The following is a 21,073-nucleotide window of genomic DNA, read 5'->3' as shown; positions in this document are numbered from 1 at the left end:
AGGTGGACAACTGCCCCTTGCTGTAATCAACTCAGCTGGCACTGGGTGTGTGCAGGGCCCTGTTCCAGGCAGTGTGGGGAACCAGACATGTGAACTAATCGTATGACTACTGTGTCCCAGTGTGGAATGTCCTGAGTGTGTGAACCCTTTGCTGCTCAAAGTGTGGTCTGGGGACTACCTACATCAGCGTGACCTTGGAGCTAGGGGGAGAGGCAGAATCTCAGGCCTGCTGAACTGGCATCTGCATTCTAACAAGATCCCCAGGCCCATCAAAGTTTGAGAGGTGTTGCTCTAACCCTCCATTCCTTCATGAATCAATCACAGACATTGATTATCCAGCCTTGTGCTGAGCACAGGGATGCAACAATGAGTTTGACCCAGTGCACACCCGTAAGGGCTCTCAGTCTTGCAGGATCTCACAGAGGCCTACATTTGCTTTGGGAACCTGGGACTGGGGAAGAGCTTCTAAAGAGGGAAGGCAGTAAGGAGGTCTTCCAGGAAGAGGTGGCATCTTGGCTAGTCTTTGAGCGATGAGGGGGATTTCACCAGATAGAGATAGGACAGAAGGGCATACCTGGCAGAAGGAATAGGGTGAACAAAGCTGGGTGGTATCATCTGTCATTGGTGGCAAGGGGAGACTTAGTATATTAGTGTCCCAGGACTGCCATAACGTGGGTGGCTTAAGCAACAGAGATTCATTTTCTCATAGGTCTGGAGGCTGGAAGTCCAAGATCAAGGTGTTGGCAGGGTTGTTTCCTTCTGTGGCCTCTCTCCTTGGCTTGCAAATGCCCATCTTCTCCCTGTATCTTCATGGGGTCTTCCCTCTGTGTCCAAATTTCTTCTTGTAAGGACACTGGCCATATTCTATTAGGGCCCACAGTAACCTCATTTTAACTGAATTACCTCTTTAAACACCCTATCTCCAAATACAGTCACATGCTGATGTACTGGGAGTTAAGACTTCCACATATAAATTTGGAGGGGCAGGGGACACAGCTTCGCCCCTAACACCTAGTGTATGAAATGAGGATGGAAGAGTGTGCAGAGCCTGAGACACTTCAATGCCAGGTCCAGAAGCTTGCAGTTTCTCTTCAAGGCCACAAGGAGCCATAGAAGGTTATAGAGCAGGGGAGTGCAGCACCATCAGAGCTGCAATTGAGCTCCAGGCCTCAGGTGTGTAGCAGACAAAGGCACCCCTAATTCAAGGGGTGAATCAGGCATGGTCTCTACCCTTGCAGAGAGTTTGGGTACCTGAGCCCATGGGGGACTGGGAAGCTGCTTCCCCACCCCAGTTTCCTCATCAGCAAAATGGACCCAGGTATGTGATGTAGCATTTCCTGACCCAAGGGACCCAACAAACAGCTGCGATAGGATTTTGGAGGGACCTGTACCCGCACCTCCACCTTCACAAGTTGTGCATTTATTTCATGGTTTAATGACTTCACCTTCTTTTGGACTTTTATATTATGAAAAATTTCAAACCTATAGAAAAGTAGACAGAATAGTATCATGAATACCCACATACCTATCACCCAGATTTAATAAATCTTAACATTTTGTCATGCTTCATCTATTTGTTTCTGAAGTATTTATAAAAATATTACAAATCTTCATATTCTATCACCTAAATACTTCAGTGTGTTCCCTAATAATCACAATACCATTTAGTACACTTAACAGATAAAAAAAAATTTCTTTTGAGACAAGGTCTCACTCTGTCACCCAGGCTGGAGTGCAGTGAAACAATTATGGTTCTTGCAGCCTCAACCTCCCCGGCTCAAGCGATTCTCCCACCTCAGCCTCCTGAGCAGCTGGGACTGCAGGCACACACCACCACTCCTGGCTAATTATTTTTTTAATTTTTAGTAAAGACAAGGTCTTGCTATGTTGCCCAGGCTGGTCTCGAACTCCCGAGCTCAAGCCATTCTCTTACCTTGGTCTCCCAAAATGCTGGGATTACAGGCATGAGCCACTGCACCCGGCCCCCTAACAAAATGAAAAAGAATGTCCTCATACTAATCAATTTCCAGTTTCTGTTCAAGTCTCCCCTCTTATCCCCAACAAAATGTCTTTACTTTCGAAATTTGTAAGTGAATAGTAGGAAAAAGATCAAATCCATAATATCAAGAGGATAACATTGATATATATGTATACACATTTATATACACACAAATTTTTTTTTTTTTTTTTCTGAGACAGAGTCTCACTCTGTCGCCCAGGCTGGAGTGCAGTGGCGAGATCTCGGCTCACTGCAAGCTCCACCTCCCAGGTTCACGCCATTCTCATGCCTCAGCCTCCCAAGTAGCTGGGACTACAGGCGCCCGCCACCATGCCTGGCTAATTTTTTTGTATTTTTTAGTAGAGACGGGGTTTCACCATGTTAGCCAGGATGGTGTCGATCTCCTGACCTCGTGATCCACCCGCCTCAGCCTCCCAAAGTGCTGGGATTACAGGCGTGAGCCACCGTGCCCAGCCACAAATTTTTTTTTTATTTTAAAAATTATATCAGATTTTAAGACATATGTGAAAGAATGTTCCAGGTGGTTGGACCCCTGTGAGGCGGCACTTGTGAAGGTGGTTAGGTTTGTCCAAGGCTTCGTGAGCTGTGAAGGGTTTTGCACGCTGCAGAGGGTGGTGCCCACGTGGAGTGGCTGGTGGTCATTGCAGGGCATCCTGGAGTGAGGTGACTGAAGTGCAGGGCTCTGAGTCCAGGCTGCGAGACAGGTGTGGTTTCCCAAGGCCCGAGCCTCTTTCCCTGCTGCTGTATTTGCCCTCCCCTTTCCTCCCCATGAGGATGGGCTGTACTGGCTCCCGGAGCCTCAGCCTCATGACTCCTGTGGGGAGAGTGAGGCACACCGCCCAGATTCCTGGAACAGGAAATAGCCTGTCGGAAACCCAGGGTTGAAAGTCTGCAAGAAGAAATAGTGCTGGTGGCCACAGGGCTGCACGCTCACCACCCCTTGGACTGGAGACGAGAACAGAGACAGTGATCATTGTAACGACCAACGATTGAGCAACTCAATCATTCACTGAGCTCTTGCTGTGTATTAAGTGCTTCTCAGGAGCTGTCTGATTTCATCCTTGAAATAACCTAATAAGCTCAGCATATTATTCTCCCTGTTTAACAGATGAGGAAACTGAAGCTCAGAGGTGCACTGACTTGCCCACAGACACACAGTGAGTCACTGCAGAGCAGAGACTTGACCCCTTTCTGTGTGACCCCAGAGCTCATGCCATGAGCTTTGCCTGCCCACGTATCTTATACAGAGGGAGTGCTCTGCACAGAGGAGATTCAGGGAAGACTTTTCTCACGAAGTGGTGTTTGAGCTGGGTCTTGAAGGATAAGTAGAAGTCAGAGTTCACAGAAGGAGAAGGAGAGAAAGGGTGTTCCAGGCAAAGGAACCGTTACGGCCAAAGGTCTGCAGGCCACAGGAGAGGTCCCTAGAGGGCCCCCCACAAGTTCTCACTGCTCACGTGTGCCCTCTGTCCTCCAGGTGGCCGGGACAGGGCCGGGCGGCCCCTGCTTCTGGTGTCAACTACAGAGGGGGCCTGGGAGGCACCATGGTGCACAGTTTCAGAGGTCACCAAGCTACTGTCCTACCTGTGTACCATCCCCAGGTAAGGATCTGGGCCACCCTGACTGCTCCATCCCCACCTCAACCCTCTGGGCCCAGAGCCCTGGACCAGACACTGAGTGGAGAGGCACCATATCCTTCCATCCAGTCGTCTGTTCACAGAGCCAGTCCCCAGACAGATGCCGGGGGAAAGCAAAACAGCCTCAGTCCCTGCCATCGGGGGGTTGTCAGGCTGGTGGGAGAGATGGACAGAGTGCAAGAAACAAACCATGGCCAAGAAACTTTCAGGAGTGTCAGTGTGATGAAGAAAACAGTGATGTTTGTAGATCAGTGGTTTTCATTTTTTTTTTTTTTTTGAAATGGAGTTTCACTCTTGTTGCCCAGACTGGAGTGCAACAATGCAATCTCAGCTCACTGCAATCTCCGCCTCCCGGGTTCAAGCGATTCTCCTGCCTCAGCCTCCCGAGTAGCTGGGATTACAGGCATGCACCACCACACCTGGCTAATTTTGTATTTTTAGTAGAGACCGCATTTTTCCATGTTGGTCAGGCTGGTCTTGAGCTCCCAACCTCAGGTGATCCACCCACCTCGGCCTCCCAAAGTGCTGAGATTACAGGCGTGAGCCACCGTGCCTGGCCGGTTTTCAAATTTGAAGGTGCATTCGAATCACCTGGTGGGCTGTTAAAACAGATTGCAGGGGCCCATCCCCCAGATTTTCTGATTCAGTTGATGAAGGTGGGTGGGACCTGAAAATCTGCATTTGTAACAAATTTCCCGGTGATAACAGGTGCTGGGCCTGGGACTACACTTTAAGAACCACTGTTGTAGAGTAAGAAGAATAGGGGATGTTAATTTCAATTGGGAAATCAGGGAAGGCTTCCCTGAGGAGGTGATAATTGAGCTGTCATCTGAATTATAAATATTTGAATAAACAAAGGAAAGGGGTGAATGAGTAAATGAATGAATGAGAGAGTGAAAGAATGAGTGGGTGAGTCAGTGAGTGAGTGAGTGAATGAATGATGAGTGGACTCAGGCTGATTTCTAATGCTCCTCCTAACACTCCTACCCCTGCCACCATTCAGACTTAATGGACTGGCTGGGGAAGAGGCGCCCTCTTTTCCTCGGGACCCAGCCCCTAGCCAGGGCAGTCTTAGAGGGGATGCTGCTCAGGACTGGCTAATAAGCCCCAACTCAACCTAGAGGTCTGCTGTTGGGGGTAAGGGGTGGAAGGTGATGGAACCCTCTGGAACTATCTTCATGCATCCCACCCCACTGGAGCCATCACTGCCACCTGCTGGTCACTAACATTTTTTTTCTTCTTGTCCAAGGTGGAGTGGCTTTTCTGGACTGAGTGGGAGATGGGACCCCCTTTTTCTGTGGTGGAAAGTGACTAGTGTGGTAGACAGAGCTCTGGGATCCCACCGACTGGCTATGCAACCATAGGGAAATAATCTCCCCTCCCCAAGGCTCGCCTGAATAAAGGGCATGACCAAGAGGGCTCTAAGGACCAAGCTGGGCACAAGTGGCAGGGATGAGGGGGTGTAGAGGATGTAAACTGTGGAGTGCAGTGCACACCAGGTGCTTGTGTGCTGGGCTGGTTTTCTCCACTTGTGCTCTGAATGAACATTGGCTGGGCCCCTGCTCTGGGCTTGGCTTCATGCTACATGGTGCTAGGGACAGAGGCACCTCACACCGGGCCCTGACTTTTAAGGGCCTCCAGGTTGGTAGCAGAGACAGGTCTGGAAACAAATCACTGTCCAGCATGGGCATCGCCAGAGGGAGGCAAGGACATAAAGTCAGAGACTTGAAATCACCTCCCAGAGCCTCCTGTCACTATCTGCCACTGGGCCTTTCTGTGCCTCAGTTTCCCCTTCTAGGATAATCATAGCAAATATTTACATCCCATTTACTCTGTGCAGTCACTGAGTGCTTTACAAGAATGAATTCATCAGTCCTCACTACAGCCCATAAGGCCGGTACTATCATTATTAAATTGACTCAGGGAGATGAAATAACTTGCCCAGACCACAAGGTACTAATGGCAGTGCCACAGCTCTACCCTCCCACTGGGCCACCTCAGGTTTTGTCTGTGCACTGAGTGGTTGTAAGGCTTGAGGGCAGTTGGGGGCTATTTTTCAATCCTGCCTGATCATTAGACTGGCCGAGGGTGCTTGGAACCACACAGATTCCCTGGCCACCCTGTACCCACTGGCCAGATGGCTAGAGGGGTGGGGATGGGAGAGGAGTAGGGTGAGGAATCTGTATTTTAACAAGTCTTGAAAATTGTGCCAGTTTGGAAAATCCTAAGATAGTCACTGAAAAGTGGCCCACTGTAAGCTCAGTGCAATGTGGCTGAACCAGGGAGGGTGTTTTGGCTGCAATCAACAGAAATTCCCATTTAAAATGTTTTATCTGTTAAGGAAATGTATCATTGTATGTCTCTGCCTCATATCTCTTTGTTAAGAACTTTTTAAAGGAGGGAATGTCTTTCCCAGAAGCCTCTTTCCCTGGAAAACTTTCCCTCACATATCATTGGCCAGAAATGTCACATGACCCTCCCCATCTAAACCAATCACTGGCCAGAGGAATTACGTCACTACTGTTGGCCTCAACCAATCAGAAGCCAGGCTCTGGGGGAACTTGGCTTTTTGGAGGGAGTTGGATTCTTGAGCAAAATAAGGATTCTGCCTACACAAAAAAGTGGATGAGTCCCAAGTGACTTGCCTACTGTACCTGGGTTAGTTGCTAGAGTTAGGAATAGTAGGGCTATAAACGAGGGCTGTATGAGGTCTTGCAGGAGCACCAAAGAGGAAGCAAAAGGCTCTGCCTGGAGAAGAACCACGGAGGGCTTCCTAGAAGGGGCATTGGAACTTGGTCTTAACAGGATGAAGAGTTCACCAGTAAATCAAGGTTTCTAGCAGCCAGGTTCCCTCACCTTCCACTAGGTCCTGCCCCCTGTCCGAGGCCATCCAGCAAGACTGTCAATTCTGTTTACCACCCACAGGCCTGAAGATAAAGCCAAGGGGCTGGCGGTCCTGATTGACGCCAGGAGACAGCCCCCACAGCCCGGTCTGGTCAGCGCCCTGCAGGCCACCCAGGTGAGTGGGAGGTGGAGAGCCTTAGCCTAGTAAGTCCTGGGAGCCACCAGGGGCCTCCTGACATTCATAGAGTCCGGGGGTGCTTAAGGCTGGGACCAGGACTCTCAGGCAGGGACTTTTACTGCAGCCAACAGAAAACTCAGCCCTAACAAGCTTGAAGCTCATTGGTTCATGTCAATGGACAGTCCAGGAGCCAAGTCCAGCTTCAAGTATGGCCTGATCCAAGGGCTCAGATATTATCATTAGAACCTGGTTCCTCTCTCTCCATTTCTGGCCCCGTTCTCTTTGGAGGATGCCAAGCCACCCCGCTTGGCACCCCGCGCCCCTTGGTGGCCGGATGGCTCCCAGCAGCTCTGACTTCACATGGTCTCTAATTTAAATCCATTAGGAAAGAGTAAGAGATTATTTTCCCAGAGGTCTCAGCAAAAATTTCTTTGTGTCTCAGTTACAGTGGATTCAGGAGTCCCTCCACACCCAACCCTGTGGCCTGGGGGTGAATGCAACACACTGATTGGCTCAGACTTAGATCACATAAAGCTCATGAGCTGAGAAGGGAGGAGAGAAGATTCCTATCCAGCAATTATGGGCAGCAGAGTCAATGGAGGTTCTGCATCTGCTTACCTTATGGTCTGACCTCCTTTGCTTTGTAGATGGGCAAACTGGGGCCCAGAGGGGCAGGTCATCTGGAAAGATTTGCAACACAACTTGAACCTGCTGCTCTCATGACTTCTAACCAATGATTCACGGTCCAAACGTATCACACAAAGATTCCAGTCATGGAGGGACCCCACTCTGTCCTTGTGACCCATTTGCCTGCATCTTACAGGGGATGAAGGAGGAAATCAAAGTGTGTGAGGCTTCATGAAGCCTTGGGCAGAGCAACTCTGCAGTGGTTGTCTTTGACAGGCTCAGGTCCCAGCCTCTATCCGGGCTATTCTCTTCCTGGGGGAGAAGGAGGCGGCTCTCCAGCTGCAGACATTACCTGACGTCCAGGTGAGGGGGACTCAGGGTCGGCGGTTGAGGAAGGGAGTTGTTGGGCTCGAGCTGAGCTGGGGTTAAGGAGAGGGAGAACTGCAGAATTCATGAGCTAGAAGAGGCCTGGAGGTAATCTAGTGTAAGGCAATAAATACGAGGCCTAAGCGCTACCAATCCCCAGTATAGATCCGTGGCAGGCATTGTCAAATCAGTCACAGAGTGATATCTCTCTGGCAATCCTAGCAGCTCCTGGTGGGTGCTGCCACATGATCGAGAATTGCACATGGCATAGAACCTATTTGAAAAGCTTCATCTGGTCCATCCCTCCTCCCTTTGTTTTCAGAGGGGGAAACTGAAGCCTAAGGCCACACAGCAAGCTAGACGCAGAGCTGGAGTCACCTGACTCCAGTGCCTTTTTCACACTGCGGTCACACCTGCTCTTCCTGTATTTCTCGCCCTAATTAATACAGATGTGGAGCTGAAGCGGGACTCTGCAGGAAAGAGCCCTGCAGCTCCCTTTAATTAGTGCCATACACCACAGTAATGAGTAAGGGCAGTCAGTCCTCTGTCCTGCTTCGGGATGTGATTTTAAAACTCTCCTTCCTCCTGGTTAGTGAAGAGGCAGATTGTGGGCTGGAGGTGTGCTGTTCCAACTTTAATGTGCTTACTGATCTCTTGGGGAAATACATTAATGTGCAGGTTCTGATTGAGTAGTTCTGGGTGGGTCCTGGGACTCTGAATTTCCAACATGTCCTAGGTGATGCCGGCGATGCTGGCCCATGGACCACACTTTGAGTAGCAGGAATATCAGGTGGGTCCAAAAAAACCACAGAATCCACCAAATCCCAAGCCTAGGTATCTGGAGCTATTCCCAGCATAAACCTCAAATTTCTCTGCCTGGCAGAAGCAGTCACCTAGTTCTTCCATGTCTTAGAGGACACTGTTGGGATTTAGTGACTTTTCTCACCAGCCCCAAGAAGGAAACAGCTCTTGGCTCCTCAGGGAACTGTGCAAAGATTACAAAGAAGTTTCATCACAAGGGCCAGCTTCCATCAGTTTGTATGATTGCCCGGAGAGCTGTACTGGGAAAGAGCCAAGCTCAGAGGGAACGAGTGCTATGATTGATTAATGATGTCTGCCTTGGGCACAAGCTAGGAGAGTGGCAGTATGAGTGCTGTTTATTTGCCATTCCCTAACCAGGGTCTGGTTCTGAATTTTGATTTGTCAGAGTTTCCAGAGAAGATTGGTTGCTGGCAAAGCAACTTTTAAAGCTGGAGTCAACCTTACTTGTGGGAAATGAACTGGTGCTGGGGCAGGGATCTGGGCAGGACCTTCTAAAATGACTGTCCTCACTTTGAGTCCCTGGTTCTCCTGATTCTTTGGTCTGCAGGTGGAGGTGCTGACCTCATTGAAGGCCCTCAGCCACCATGTGGACCCCAGCCAGCTGCCCGCAGTCCTGGAAGGCCCCTTCCCCTACTGCCACACCGAGTGGGTTCATTTCTTCCAGGTGTTTACCGTCACAGCCTTTAGCCCCTGACCCCCACTCCTTCTCTTCTTCTCTTCACTCTTCTGTCCCATGGATCCATCAACCCTGCTATGCTAAAAAATAAACGGTCACTCAACAAATGTTTACAGTGAAGGTACAGAGTCAAATGATTAAGAGCTCAGGCTCTGGGGCCAGGCTGCCTACATTGCAATCCCAGCTCTGCTGTGTGATTTTGGATAAGTTACTTACCTTCTCTGAGCCTTGGTTTCCTCATCAGCTAAACAGGGGATAATAATAGTACCTCCTCATGGGGTTTTTGTGAGGATTAATTTAGTTAATACGGGTAAAGAGCTAGGTCTATGTTAACTGAAAATAAATTTACAGGGCCGGGCGCTGTGATTCACACCTGTAATCCCAGCACTTTGGGAGGCCGAGATGGGTGGATCACATGAGGTGAGGAGTTTGAGACCAGCCTGGCCAACATGGTAAAACCTCATATCTACTAAAAATACAAGAAAGAAAAAGTTAGCCAGGCATGGTGGTATGCACCTGTAGTCCCAGCTACTCGGGAGGCTGAGGCATGAGAATTGCTTGAACCCAGGAGGCAGAGATTGCAGTGAGCCAAGATCACACCACTGCACTCCAGCCTAGGTGGCACAGTGAGACTCTGTCTCAAAAAGAATCTTAAAATAAAATAAAATAAATTTACAGGCACTTGCTCTATGGACCCACACAACTCAGGAAGCTCAGGGTCTGGTTCCCTCCTATAAGAGGGAGGAAATAAGGCAGCCGCCAGTGTTGGGCTCCTTTCCTGTGTAATCACAGTCCCTCCTCCCCACAACCCCAAGAGGGGGCATTTCATACCCAATTTAGTACACGAGGACACATAGGGCGAGGGTGCCTTTCGGTGGGCTTAAACCACACCGAAACCGATGCCCATCAATGCCCGCCCCGGGTCCTCTCTAGACCAGGGTTGCTCAACCTTAACCTATTCACATTTGGGGTTGAGCAATTCTGTTTTGTTGGGAGCTGTCTTGTGTATTGCGGCATGCTTGGTACCAGCCCTGGCTCTACCCACTGTTTGCACCCCACAAATTATGACAATTAAAAAAGTCTCCTGACATTGCTGAATGTCCCCGGGGGCAAAGTCACCCCTCATTGAGAACCGCCGGTCTATACTAACAGTGTAACATGGTGGCTTATTTACTTTTTGCCCAAGTGATCTTTTTAAAATTGTGTGTTTTTGAATAGGCAGTAAGTATATTCACATTTCAAATGGTCCAAAAAGATACCTACTGAACAATCTCCTTTTCCGCTTGTCCCCCAGGGTCCTAGCTTCCCTTTCCAGAGGCCTCCAATGAATCCACTGGTTTTTGAACTGTATTTTAGCTTTAAACCCTTTCCTTTACATGAAATCTTACCTGTAGACCCACTACATGGAAGTGAGAATGATGATAAACACAGTATGGGCTGGGCTCTGTTCTAAGTGCCTTGCATATATTAATGGGTTTAATCCTCACACAACCCTATAAGGCAGGAACTACTATGATCTCCATTTTAAAGAGGAGGAAGCAGAGACACAGAGAGGTTAAGTAACTTGCCCAAGGTCTCACAGCTTGTAAGTGATGGAGCTGGGCCGAAGTGGGACTCAGCTGAAAATGTTCCCCTAACTCTGCCCTCTTCCTTTCCTTACCAATCATGGTATCCCCACTGGCCTGGGAGTCGCTCAGGCCTGTCTCCTTTCTTCTCCCTCACTCATACTCAACACCAGTGGTTCTCAAAGTGTGGTTCCCCAGGCCAGCAGCATCAGCAACACCTGGGAACTTGTTAGAAATGCACTTTCTACCATGCCTCGCCCCAGAGGAACTGAAGCAGAACCTCAGGAGCAGAGCCCAGAGCCTGTGTTTTAACCAGCTCTCCAGATGCTTCTGATGCACCTGGAGTTGGAGAGCCACTGCCTCCCACCTCCCCTCTGTGCTCCTGAGATGCAAGAGGCATCCTCCTGGTTGGCCTGGGCTGACACCTGCCCTTTGGTCCTCTGTCCTGCAGAAGCTGGACCCTTTCCTTGCTGACCTCCACCAGGCCTCTTCCCTGCTACAAGCTTCCATCGAGGAATTCGAGAAGGCCGACCCCCCTGGGGGGATGCAGGTGAGCCTGGAGCATGGTGACTGGGGAAGCTACATCACACCCCAGACCCCATGGACCAAGGGCTTCGAGAAGGGGACGGCCTGGGGAAAAGGGGGAGGACATTATTCCTGTTTTTCATCATTCATTTGACTCATATTTGAGGGGCACCCACTTTGTACCCTGCACTGGAGACCAGCCTGGAGCAAACTGACTTATCCCTGCCCTCTTGGGGCTCGTGGTGCTGTGGCAGAGGTGGTAGTTTAAAAAGCAAACTATTATAAATGGGTATGTCATTCCAAATTGTGTCAAGTCCTGTGGAAGTAAGATTGGGAATAATGAGGGAGGGAGGAGGGCCTCTCTGAAGAGCTGGAGTTTAAGTTGAGGCTTGAAGTTTGAGAAGGAGCCTGCCTTTGTGGGGGGCTGTGCTCCAGGCAGGGGGCAAACACATGTGAAGGCCCTGAGGTGGGATTATACCTGGGGTGTTCAGGAGTAGCAAGGAGGCCAGTGTGGAGCAGAATGAGTGGGAAAGAAGCATGAGTGGAGCTTCTAGATGCAGCAGGAGCTGGACCAAGGAAGAGTTGGGCTGGGATTCAGTTCGAAGCCTGCAGGGAAAGCCACTGGAGAGTTTTAAACCAGGGGTTATCAGATTTGCACTTTGAGATCCGTTCAACTGCCATGTGGAGAACAGACTGTAGGGGGAGCCAGAGGGCAGCAGGGAGATCAGCGAAGAGGCTGGAATGGGTGTCCCAGCAAGAGATGCTGGAGGGTGGACCAATGAGGTTGCCGTGGTGACGAGAGGGGACATGGCTAGAGGGGATGTTTTAGAGACAGAAATGACAGACTTTCTGGAGGACCTTGAATGCCAAACTGGGAGTTGGACTTGATCTGGGTGTGGGGAGCCTTGGAAGGTTGCAGAGGGAGAGTGGGGATGGGGCCTCAGGGCACCTCCCTACGCTGGCAGGAGGCTACCAGGTGCCTGAGCAAGTCCAAGGAGCTGATGGAGGCTGTGCTGAGGGACCCCGGCCTACTGGGCCTCCAGCGGGAAGGTGGAGCCACCCTGGCCAGGCTGCAGCATGATGCCAGCAGGCTGGACTTCAGCCCTGATGTCAGGTACAGACGTCCAGGCCTTTCCTCTTCCACCCCATCCTGTTTCTGGCCCAGGAGCTTGGAGCTGGGACCACACCACCTAGGGCACACATAGCTGAGCCCCGAGGGCGCCCAGCTTTGCAGTAGTTGCAGGGCCTGTATCCCAGGCTGACGCCTGGTCACAGAAACCTGCCCTGAGCCCTGGCAATTTCCTCGCCCCTTCTCTGCTTTCCCTCCTTCAGCCCCAGCCATCTTGAGCCTGGGATGGGCATCAGAGGATGTCGCCTACCCATTTCTGGTCACCCTTTTGGAAAAGCACTTTCTCTGACCCACACACCACGCTGAACCCCTGCAAGAGCCTGCCTCATTTATTTCTGGCAAGAACCCTGTGAGGTCCACATTGTCCATTTGGCTGATGGGTAACTGAGGCTCAGCGAAGGGAAATAGCAGCTAGACAGCGGCTGGTAAGGGATTTGAAGCCAGGCCTTCTGGGCATTTAACCCCTACCCGGCCCTGCCTTTCCCGGTAGGCTGCTCAGACACACTTGTGAGAACCTCATGGTGTCTCAGGGGTCTCAGAGCCAGAATAAATTATAGACATTCCTGGAAAGTCCCAGCTTTCTTAAATTTAGGGGGTGGGGAAAAGTCAGTCATTAAATTGGTCAGTAATTGCAAGTATTTTCACCCTCTTAGAACACAGCTACTTATATTCAAAGTCAAGGGCTGGTATGCATGAGCTTTTAAGAACATTTTGTTTACAGAACCAAGACCTAAATAGCACTTTGTATGTGTCCAGCATTTTTCTCAGGGATTTACAAATACCAGCTCACTTAATTCACTCCGAGGTAGCTGCAGATATTATGCCTATTTTACAGTGGAGGAACCTGAGGCTCAGAGAAGGTAAGTGATTAGTCCAGGGTCACATAGCTGGGATGTGGTGGGGCCCGGACTTGAATCCAGGCAGTCTGGTCCCAGAATCTTGAACACACCACCCAGAGCTGCACTAGACTTGAGAGCAGGCTTACACAGATGGACGCACGGGCAGCACTGGTATGGGGTCATCTCCCTGCCCCTCAGTGCCTGGTGGGGGTTGGCACTGCCTTTCTCAGCCTCTTCCACCCTTACCTGCCCCACCAGCCCAGGCCCCTCCTGTCCATCCGAGGCCCCGCAGACCCGCAGCTACCAGCATCTCCAGCAGGGGTCACTGTGGTCCCACATGAGCTGCTGTGGGCGTTTGTTCTGCAGCGGGTCCCTGCAGCCCCTAGGCTGTCCCCGTCCCTCCGTCCCTCCCTCTCCAGGCAGGCAGAGATTTTCTATCCTATTCACGCACCCTGGGCCACACCTCTTCCCTGCAAGGGTGGCAACCCGTGGGGAGCTGCAGTCAGATGGGGAGGCTGAGGTAGAGCAAAGCACCCTCCAGGAAGTCAAAAGCTTTTCTTCCATCTTCTCTCTTCCATTTTCCCTCTGAAGGCAGAGGAGGGCAGAGCAGGGTTGGAGATTCCTCCCTTCACACAAATATCACCATGCCTGAAATCCCATCCACACTTCTTCCTTAGTGACTTGTGGCTTTGAGCATTTTTTAAAATTATGTGCAGAAACAGCCCTGGGTGGGGTTCCAACTCAGGTTGTCATCTGCAAGTCGATTCCCCTCCCTTGACCTCAGTTTTCCCATCTGTGAAATGGAGGCAGGGCCGGCAGGCATGTTGCAGCTACTTCCCACCATTGCAATAGAAATAGCACGGACCTGACAAACATCGTGCGCTGGGCACTGTGTTAAGTGTTTTGCACGCATGAGCGCTGGTTCTCTGCCCTGGCTGTCCCTGGAACCGCCTGAGGTGCTTTAGAAAGCATCAGTGTCTCAGCCGGGCGTGGTGGCTTATGCCTATAATGCCAGCACTTTTGGAGGCTGAGGCAGACAGATCACCTGAAGTCAGGAGTTCAAGACCAGCCTGGCCAATATGTGAAACCCTGTCTCTACTAAAAATACAAAAATTAGCCCGGCATGGTGGTGCGTGCCTGTAATCCCAGCTACCCAGGAGGCTGAGGCAGGAGAATCGTTGGAACCCAGGAGGCAGAGGTTGCAGTGAATGGAGATCGCGCCACTGCACTCTAGCCTGGGTGACCAGCCTGGGTGACAGAGTGAGACTCCGTCTCAAAAAAAAAAAAAAAAAAAAAAGGGAAACATCAGTGTGTTGGTTGCACTCAGAGTCTGACTTTGTTGGCCTGGGGCAGGGCACTAAGATTTGTTAAAGCTCCCAGGGCAGGTTATAATGTATAGCTAGAGTTGAGGGCCAGGGCGTTAGATCATTTAATCCTTACAACCATGCTATGAAGTGGGTTCTGTGATTATCTCCACCTCACAGAATAAAAAGCAGAGACATAGAAAGGTTGAGAAATTTGCACAGAGCCTCCTACTAGAAGGCAGCAGAGCTGGGCTTTGAACCCAGATCTGTCCGGCCAGCTTCATTCCCTTCTAGGGAAGGGGGAGGGTCAGTTCACTTCCTACTGTGTTCTCTTGTCCTCCCAGTCCCATGGAAGACCAAGGCTGAGGCCCTTGGTGAAGGGCCTGCCCACAGTCACACAGCAAGTTAGCTGGAAACCCAGGCTGGGGCCACAGAGATGGAGGGGCAGGCCTATGCGGGACAGAAGTACAGCAGGGTGAAGAGGGCAACAGAGGCCTTTTCTCACCTCCGCCCACCTCCCAGGAGCCATCTGGCTGCAGCCACTGCCTTGTACAGCCTTGTGGACGAGCAGCTTCATGTTCTGGTCACCGCTTCCAACAGCCTCCTGGGGAAGCTGGAGCTCCGTGTCCGCCTGGGCCGCCTGGAAGCTGCCATTCACCAGGTGAAAGGGGTGTCTGGCTTGGGGTGTGGGGGTTCTGCCTGGCCACATTCCACAGGAAAGCCCCGACTCTGGGCCCGTCCCTAGTCAGGTGCTTTGTTCTGGAGAAAGGACACCAAGCTGGCGATCCTTCAAAGGCCAGGCAGGCATCCTTGGGGCGTAGCACATGACCTGGTGCTCAATAAGTGCTCAGTGGGTGAAAACATAGCCCCAAGAGCTGCACTTATTGAGCGCCAACTCTGTGCCAAGCCCTGGGCCAGAGCCGTTGTGAACATCATTGCTTTCTGAACTCATGGGGAAGGTGCTAGGATTTCATCCACTGCACAGATGAGGAAACTGAGGCTGGGAGACATTATGTTACCTGCTTGTGGTTGCATATCTCGGGGTCTGATTCTGGAACCTGCACCTGGTGTGGCTTCATCTGACTGCCGGTGCCGAGAACCAACACATTCCTGTCAGCCTGGAGCTGTGGGGCACGGCACACTCCTGCATCAGACAGCCCTGGTTCATTCCTGGCTCCAGCACTTACTCGTGGTGTGGCCCTGGACAAGATGTTTAACTCTTCAGTGCTTCAGTATCTTCATTTGTTGAATGGGGGGTAATATCAGTACGTGCTACATTGGATCTGTGAAGATAAAGTGAGTGAATAGGCTCTTTAAGATGCCCCAGAATAAGAAAGGAACTTCCACTCGGGGTTGAGAGCCATTATATACCCTCTATCCCTCATTGAATCTTCATGTCTACCCCATTTTACCACTGAGTAAACTGAGGCCCAGAAAGGGGGAGTGGCTTACCATGTTCACATGGTGAGTTCCCAGCAGGCCCATGGACTTTCCTCTGCAGCCTGCAGCTTCTTCTCCAGCACTGTTTGCATGTGCACGCGCACACAAACACACACACACACCCGAACAGGGAGCTCATCACCCCTGAGGCCACCCCTTTTATGATCCGGCGTCTCTGAGTGGTTAGAGTAGCCTGAAGTTCACCACCCTGTGCCTTCATTCAGATAACTGTGCACTGAGGGCGTTGGCCAGGCCAGATGCCCTCCAGGGTCCCGCTTTGAAGAACATGACCACACACTCCCCCTCCCCAAGTCATTTCTTCCCACGCCCAGAATTGGGAGAATTTCAGTCCAAGCCAGTGGTCACAGGCCTAGCCACTGAATGAGTGAAGACAGAAGACCTCAGCCTGCAAGGAAGTGGGGGAGCTGGACAAGGGAGGTCTCCTAGCAGCCCCTCATGTCCAAATCTGCCTCTCCTGCCCCAGGTCAGCGACTGGATGGAGCAGGAAGGAAGGCGGTGCCTGCAATCACTGACCCCCAAGGATGGAAGTTTGGAGACAGTGGAGAAAGCCCACGCAGAATTTGAGAACTTCTTCCTCCAGGCTGCAGTGCGTTCCAGACAACAGAGGAGCAGGACTGGAGCAGATGGAGAGGGCGTTAGAGGGGGTGGCACTGCCAGGGCAAAGCTGTGGAGGTGGGAAAGAGCAAGAAAAGTTCCAGAGACAGTGAGGGAACCAGCTTGGATTGCAGAGTTCAGCTGAGATGTTATCTCCCCCAGAGATTCTTACCAGATGGCCAAGCCCAAAGAATATTCTGAATCCCCCAGAGGGTTTCTTAAAATGCAGTTTCCAGGGCCCCATCCTAGACCTAATAACTCAGCCTCACAGAGCCGGGGGTTGGAGGGCAGGGAAGCTGCATCAACGTGATGCGATGTGACAAGGCTCTGGACCACAGGGTGATTCAGCCCCGTATCAGCGCTCAGGAATTCTCAGGCCAGTGGGGAGCGGGGGCGGGGGCGGGGACAAACAGGGAAGCGCACAGTAAGGGAGAATGTGGGGACTCAGAGCAGGAGCCTTTGGAGTCAGAGAAGTTTTCCAGAAGGAACATCTAAGCAGAGCCCGGCTAGGCAAAGTGAACTGCCATGGCGAGGGCCTGGAGACTTCCAGAAGCGTGATAACTGCTCTTAATTGTTCAACCCTCACCAGGAGCTAAGCCCTGTGAGGTGGGTGCTATTAGGGTCCCCATTCTACAGATGAGGAAACTGAAGCTCAGGAAGTCTCCTGGCTCGCCAGCAAGGCAGCTGGAGGTTGCTGACCTCCGAGGGAGGCCCCAGCCAAGGTGGGTGCTGAGTGGGCGCCCCCTCCTCTCCCCTCTCAGGCCCAGTACCGCCGAGGCCTGGAGCTGTCCAAGCAGGCCGCTCAGCTGGGAGCTACAGCCAGAGGGGCTGGGGAGGCAGAACGTGCAGAGTTCCCAGAGCTGGCAGCCTTTGCCTCTACCCAGCGGGCCTTCCAGGCTGAGCTGACCCACTTTTACATGGCGGCCGAGCGGCAACGCACGGACCTCGAGACGCTGCTCCACCTGCACCGCTTCTGCAAGAGGGTGAGCCCCGCGGCCCACCTGCACAGATACCCCCCGATCCCCTGGCTGGGGCTATGGTGGGGACAGGGATACCTAGACACAGCCCCATGGCCTGACTGCATAGACACCGCCCCCATCCCTTGGATACCTAGACACAGCCCCCCCCCACCCACTTGCACAGACACCACCCCCATCCCCTGGCTGGGGGCACAGCAGGGACAGGGATACCCAGACACAGTCGGAGGCTCATCGTGATTCACTCCCCAAGTCTTGTAACAGGAAAAAAACAGAGGAAGGGGAAGAGCTGAGATTTGAACATAGATGTGTCTGTGGTACCCCGTGACATGCCTTATATGCTTCCCCAAAGAGAAGAGAAATGACGACAGATCCCTTCACCAAGCAGGCTTGACCATGGTGAGGATGAGGGGTTGTTGGGAGGGGAGTGCACATTTCTGAGTGTGTACACCATGCCAGACCTCCTGTGAGCACTTCACACACCTTACTTGACTTCATTCTTATCCATACCTCTTTGATGACAGGGAACCAATGTTGTTCCCATTTTACAGATGAGAAAACTGCCCAAAGAGGGCAGTGGTGAAGGATGATTTGATTTAGGAGCTGCCACCTGTCCTAAATTCATGTAGCCAAATCTCTCTTTAAAAAAAAATTATGGGAAAACTGAGGTCTGTGGGGACAAAGGAGCAGCCTGGGAGAGTGTGGTCCAGCTGGGACAGGGACCCCCATGGCTGGCCCAGACCCAGTGCCCTTGGCTGCCCCTTGCACTTGTCACCAAGGACAAAGCATGAGAAAGACCTGACCCCAGCCTCCCAGCTGTCAGGCCAGCCCCACGTGCAGGCCACAGCGATCACAGGCTGCTTCAGAGGGCAGCAGGAGGGACTCTGGTCAACTCACGCCTGGGGCCCTGGGAGGACAGGGCACTCTCTGTCTCCTTGGGACAGTGGGCAAGGGAGGCAGATGTTGGCAGTGGCAGCAAAGGGCTCCCCCAGTTCCAGCTGTGTACAGTTAAGAGCACGATACAGGCGGAATCCGAGCCTTGGAGTCTGGGGCTTCATGTCCTTGCGTGAGCTCTGTGACCTCAACCACAGTCTTCACTGCTCTAGGCCTCAGCTCTTTGCTAAGACCATAGTTAATGGCCGTGTAGTTCTTATGACAAGCCAGGCCCTGTTCTAGTCATTTCACGTATCATTTTATTGTCGCCCCGATCCTATGAGACAGGTACTACTATTATGCCCATTTCCACCTAAGGAAACAGAGAGGTCAGATAACTCACCCAGGGTCACACAGCTAACTGAGTGGGCAGAGATTCAAACCCAGACCATCTGGCTCTACTGCCAGCCTTACCAGCTAATGACAGATTTCAATGGAAGTAACCCCTGGCACAGGGCTTTGTTCAAATTCAGAATTGTTATTAACATCAATATTATTATTATCATTAAGAGGAGGAAGAAGAGGAGTAGTGCCTCCAGGGTTAAAGACATCTGGTAGCTTCTTTGCCTTGCCCACTGATTTCAGCCAATTTCAGCCCCACTGGCCTTCCCGGATCGATCAAACGTGCTCCAACTCTGAGGTCTTTGCACGTGCTGTTCCCTCAGCCTGGGAAGCTCTTCCCGTTGACCGGCTGGCTTCTTGTCTTTCTTCCGCTCTCAGCTCACACATCCCCTCTTTGCAGACACCCTTTCTGACTGCCCACTCTGGTTCTCTCTCGTCACCCTGTTTTGTCGCTTCTGGGTGCTCACTTTGACCTGAAGTTGTCCTGGTCCTTGTCACTCGCTTGTCTCTTGCATGGTGCCTGCGAGGCGAGCTCCCTGAGACAGGGACTGGGTTCGAGTTGGTCCTGGCTCTATCCATGGTGCCTGGCACGGGCTCGGCCCACAAGGTCTCAGGGAGGCTGTGCGGGGAGTCAGGATAGGCTGGAAGCCTGGGGATGGCCTGTGTGGAGGTGGCGTCTGTGCCAGGCCTAGAAGTCATACGGGGGAGGTAGCAACCCTGACTCTGAGTCCAACTCTCGCTGTTGGAACTGGGCTGGCCCTGTTTCCTCACTGGCCCTGAATTTCAATCCGTTCAATAAGGGGTTGGGCAAGATGATTTCTGAGGTGCTATCCATCTCTGTCCAGCTTAGCCTGGAAGGTCAAGTCCTGGACACACAGACAGATGATGGGACAGCCCAGCACCAGGCTCAGCCCCTGGTGGGGAGCGTGTGTGCAGCAGCTTTGGTCCTAAATAATAATAACACAATGGTGCCACTAACGGAGATTTATGGAGCTCTTTCCCGGCCATGAGCTCCGTGTGCTTGCACGAATATGAAGCCATTTATCTAAAGTCAAGTTCCCTTAATCCGTGGAAAGATGGTCTCTTCGGAGAAAATGGTTCTCCAATCCCTACAGCCTAACAGCTCGCTATCGGGTTCTAAATTAATGGAGAGAAAGATTATGTTTTTCACGAGCGGCTGGGAACGTGTTGGCTTCTTTGCAGTCTGCAGACGTTTTGTGGGGGAAGCGGGGACAGACAGAATCACAAAATGAGGCAGAGGCTCGGCTGGAGGGAGGGGGCCTGCGGGCCTGGTGTGGCTGACAGTCTCAAGGTGTGATGGTGAGGGCACACCCCTGCCTGGCCGGTTTCTCCTTCTGCCCATGAAGGTGCTTGGAGGACAGATCAGAGGTGGAATCCCAGCTCCTCCCTGACTTGCTATGTGACCTAGGGCAAGTGAGTTCACTTCTCTGAGCCTCAGTTTTCTTCTCTGTGAAATGGGCTGCTGGTGCAGTTCAGTGCAATCCTGCCTGAGACACACAGAACCTGGCAAACGGTCAGTGCTCAATAAGCATTAGGCAGACTCCTCCCTCACAGCACTCTCAAGGGTTAATACAACCATGGAGAGGAATTTCACCTCTCAAAAGGCTTTTCATGATCATCTAGTGCAACTTCCATTTTACAGAAGAAGAAACTGAGCCCCAGAGAGGGCTAAGTCCCTGCTGGCCCGTAGGTCTATTAGAAGGTGTCTGATGGGCTGGGCGCAGTGGGTCATGCCTATAATCCCAGCACTTTGGGAGGCTGCGGCGGGTGGATCACCTGAGGTCAGGAGTTCGAGACCAGCCTGACCAACAAGGTGAAACCCCGTCCTACTAAAAATACAAAAATTAGCTGGGCATGGCAGCAGGTGCCTATAGCCTCAGCTACTCGGGAGGCTGAGACAGGAGAATTGTTTGAACCTGGGAAGCAGAGCTTGCAGTGAGCCGAGATCACACCACTGCACTCTAGCCTGGGTGATGGAGCGAGACTCCATCTCAAAAAAAAAAAAAAGGTGTCTGATGATTCTAAGGGTGCTTGGGGGCTGTTTCCAGATGGCAGGTGTGTGCACCCCAGGGAAGAGAGGGAAACCAGGGTCATCATGGTCAGTGGAGAAGATCATGGCCAAGCTGAGCGGGGCCCTGGCATTGGGCACTTATTAATTCAGTCCTCCATGGTCCCACTTCCAGCCTGAGCCCCCACCTCCCTCTCTTCTTGTCCCC

The 21,073-nt window shown here is 51.8% G+C and overlaps 1 protein-coding gene across 17 annotated transcripts in view, besides 2 other annotated features; it reads left to right on the top strand.

Moving 5' to 3' along the window:
* The window catches only part of KIAA1755, a 50,233-nt gene that overhangs the window by 25,916 nt on the left and 3,244 nt on the right, over positions 1-21,073 (top strand). For 4 of the 17 annotated variants that reach the window (XM_024452013.2, XM_024452012.2, XM_024452008.2 and 1 more), the window contains 9 exons: positions 3,495-3,618; positions 6,580-6,673; positions 7,580-7,666; positions 9,039-9,155; positions 11,184-11,282; positions 12,223-12,371; positions 15,052-15,190; positions 16,454-16,576; positions 17,346-17,567. In XM_024452013.2, coding sequence (XP_024307781.1) covers positions 3,495-3,618; positions 6,580-6,673; positions 7,580-7,666; positions 9,039-9,155; positions 11,184-11,282; positions 12,223-12,371; positions 15,052-15,190; positions 16,454-16,576; positions 17,346-17,567 — 1,154 coding nt within the window. Of the gene's footprint in view, positions 1-3,494; positions 3,619-6,579; positions 6,674-7,323; positions 7,667-9,038; positions 9,156-11,183; positions 11,283-12,222; positions 12,372-13,142; positions 13,247-14,873; positions 15,191-16,453; positions 17,569-17,814; positions 21,071-21,073 lie in introns of those variants that run through there. The other 13 variants (NR_145960.2, XM_024452009.2, NM_001348708.2 and 10 more) reach the window with 11 other exon arrangements.
* Positions 15,190-15,691: an enhancer, noted in NCBI's record as "H3K4me1 hESC enhancer chr20:36847531-36848032 (GRCh37/hg19 assembly coordinates)". NCBI's record gives its function as "activates a minimal SCP1, AML or CMV promoter by ChIP-STARR-seq in primed H9 embryonic stem cells {active_cell/tissue: H9 hESC(primed)}" and the evidence as "EXISTENCE:reporter gene assay evidence [ECO:0000049][PMID:30033119]".
* Positions 16,106-17,305: an enhancer, noted in NCBI's record as "BRD4-independent group 4 enhancer chr20:36845917-36847116 (GRCh37/hg19 assembly coordinates)". NCBI's record gives its function as "activates an origin of replication core promoter dependent on BRD2, P300/CBP, MED14 and CDK7 cofactors, and independent of BRD4, by STARR-seq in HCT116 cells {active_cell/tissue: HCT116}" and the evidence as "EXISTENCE:reporter gene assay evidence [ECO:0000049][PMID:35650434]".

This window comes from Homo sapiens, chromosome 20, assembly GCF_000001405.40.
Source record: "Homo sapiens chromosome 20, GRCh38.p14 Primary Assembly".
In the NCBI taxonomy this organism is placed as follows: Eukaryota; Metazoa; Chordata; class Mammalia; order Primates; family Hominidae; genus Homo; species Homo sapiens.
The sequence above is the reverse complement of the archived record's forward strand: the minus strand, read 5'-3'. Positions and strand labels throughout refer to the sequence as shown.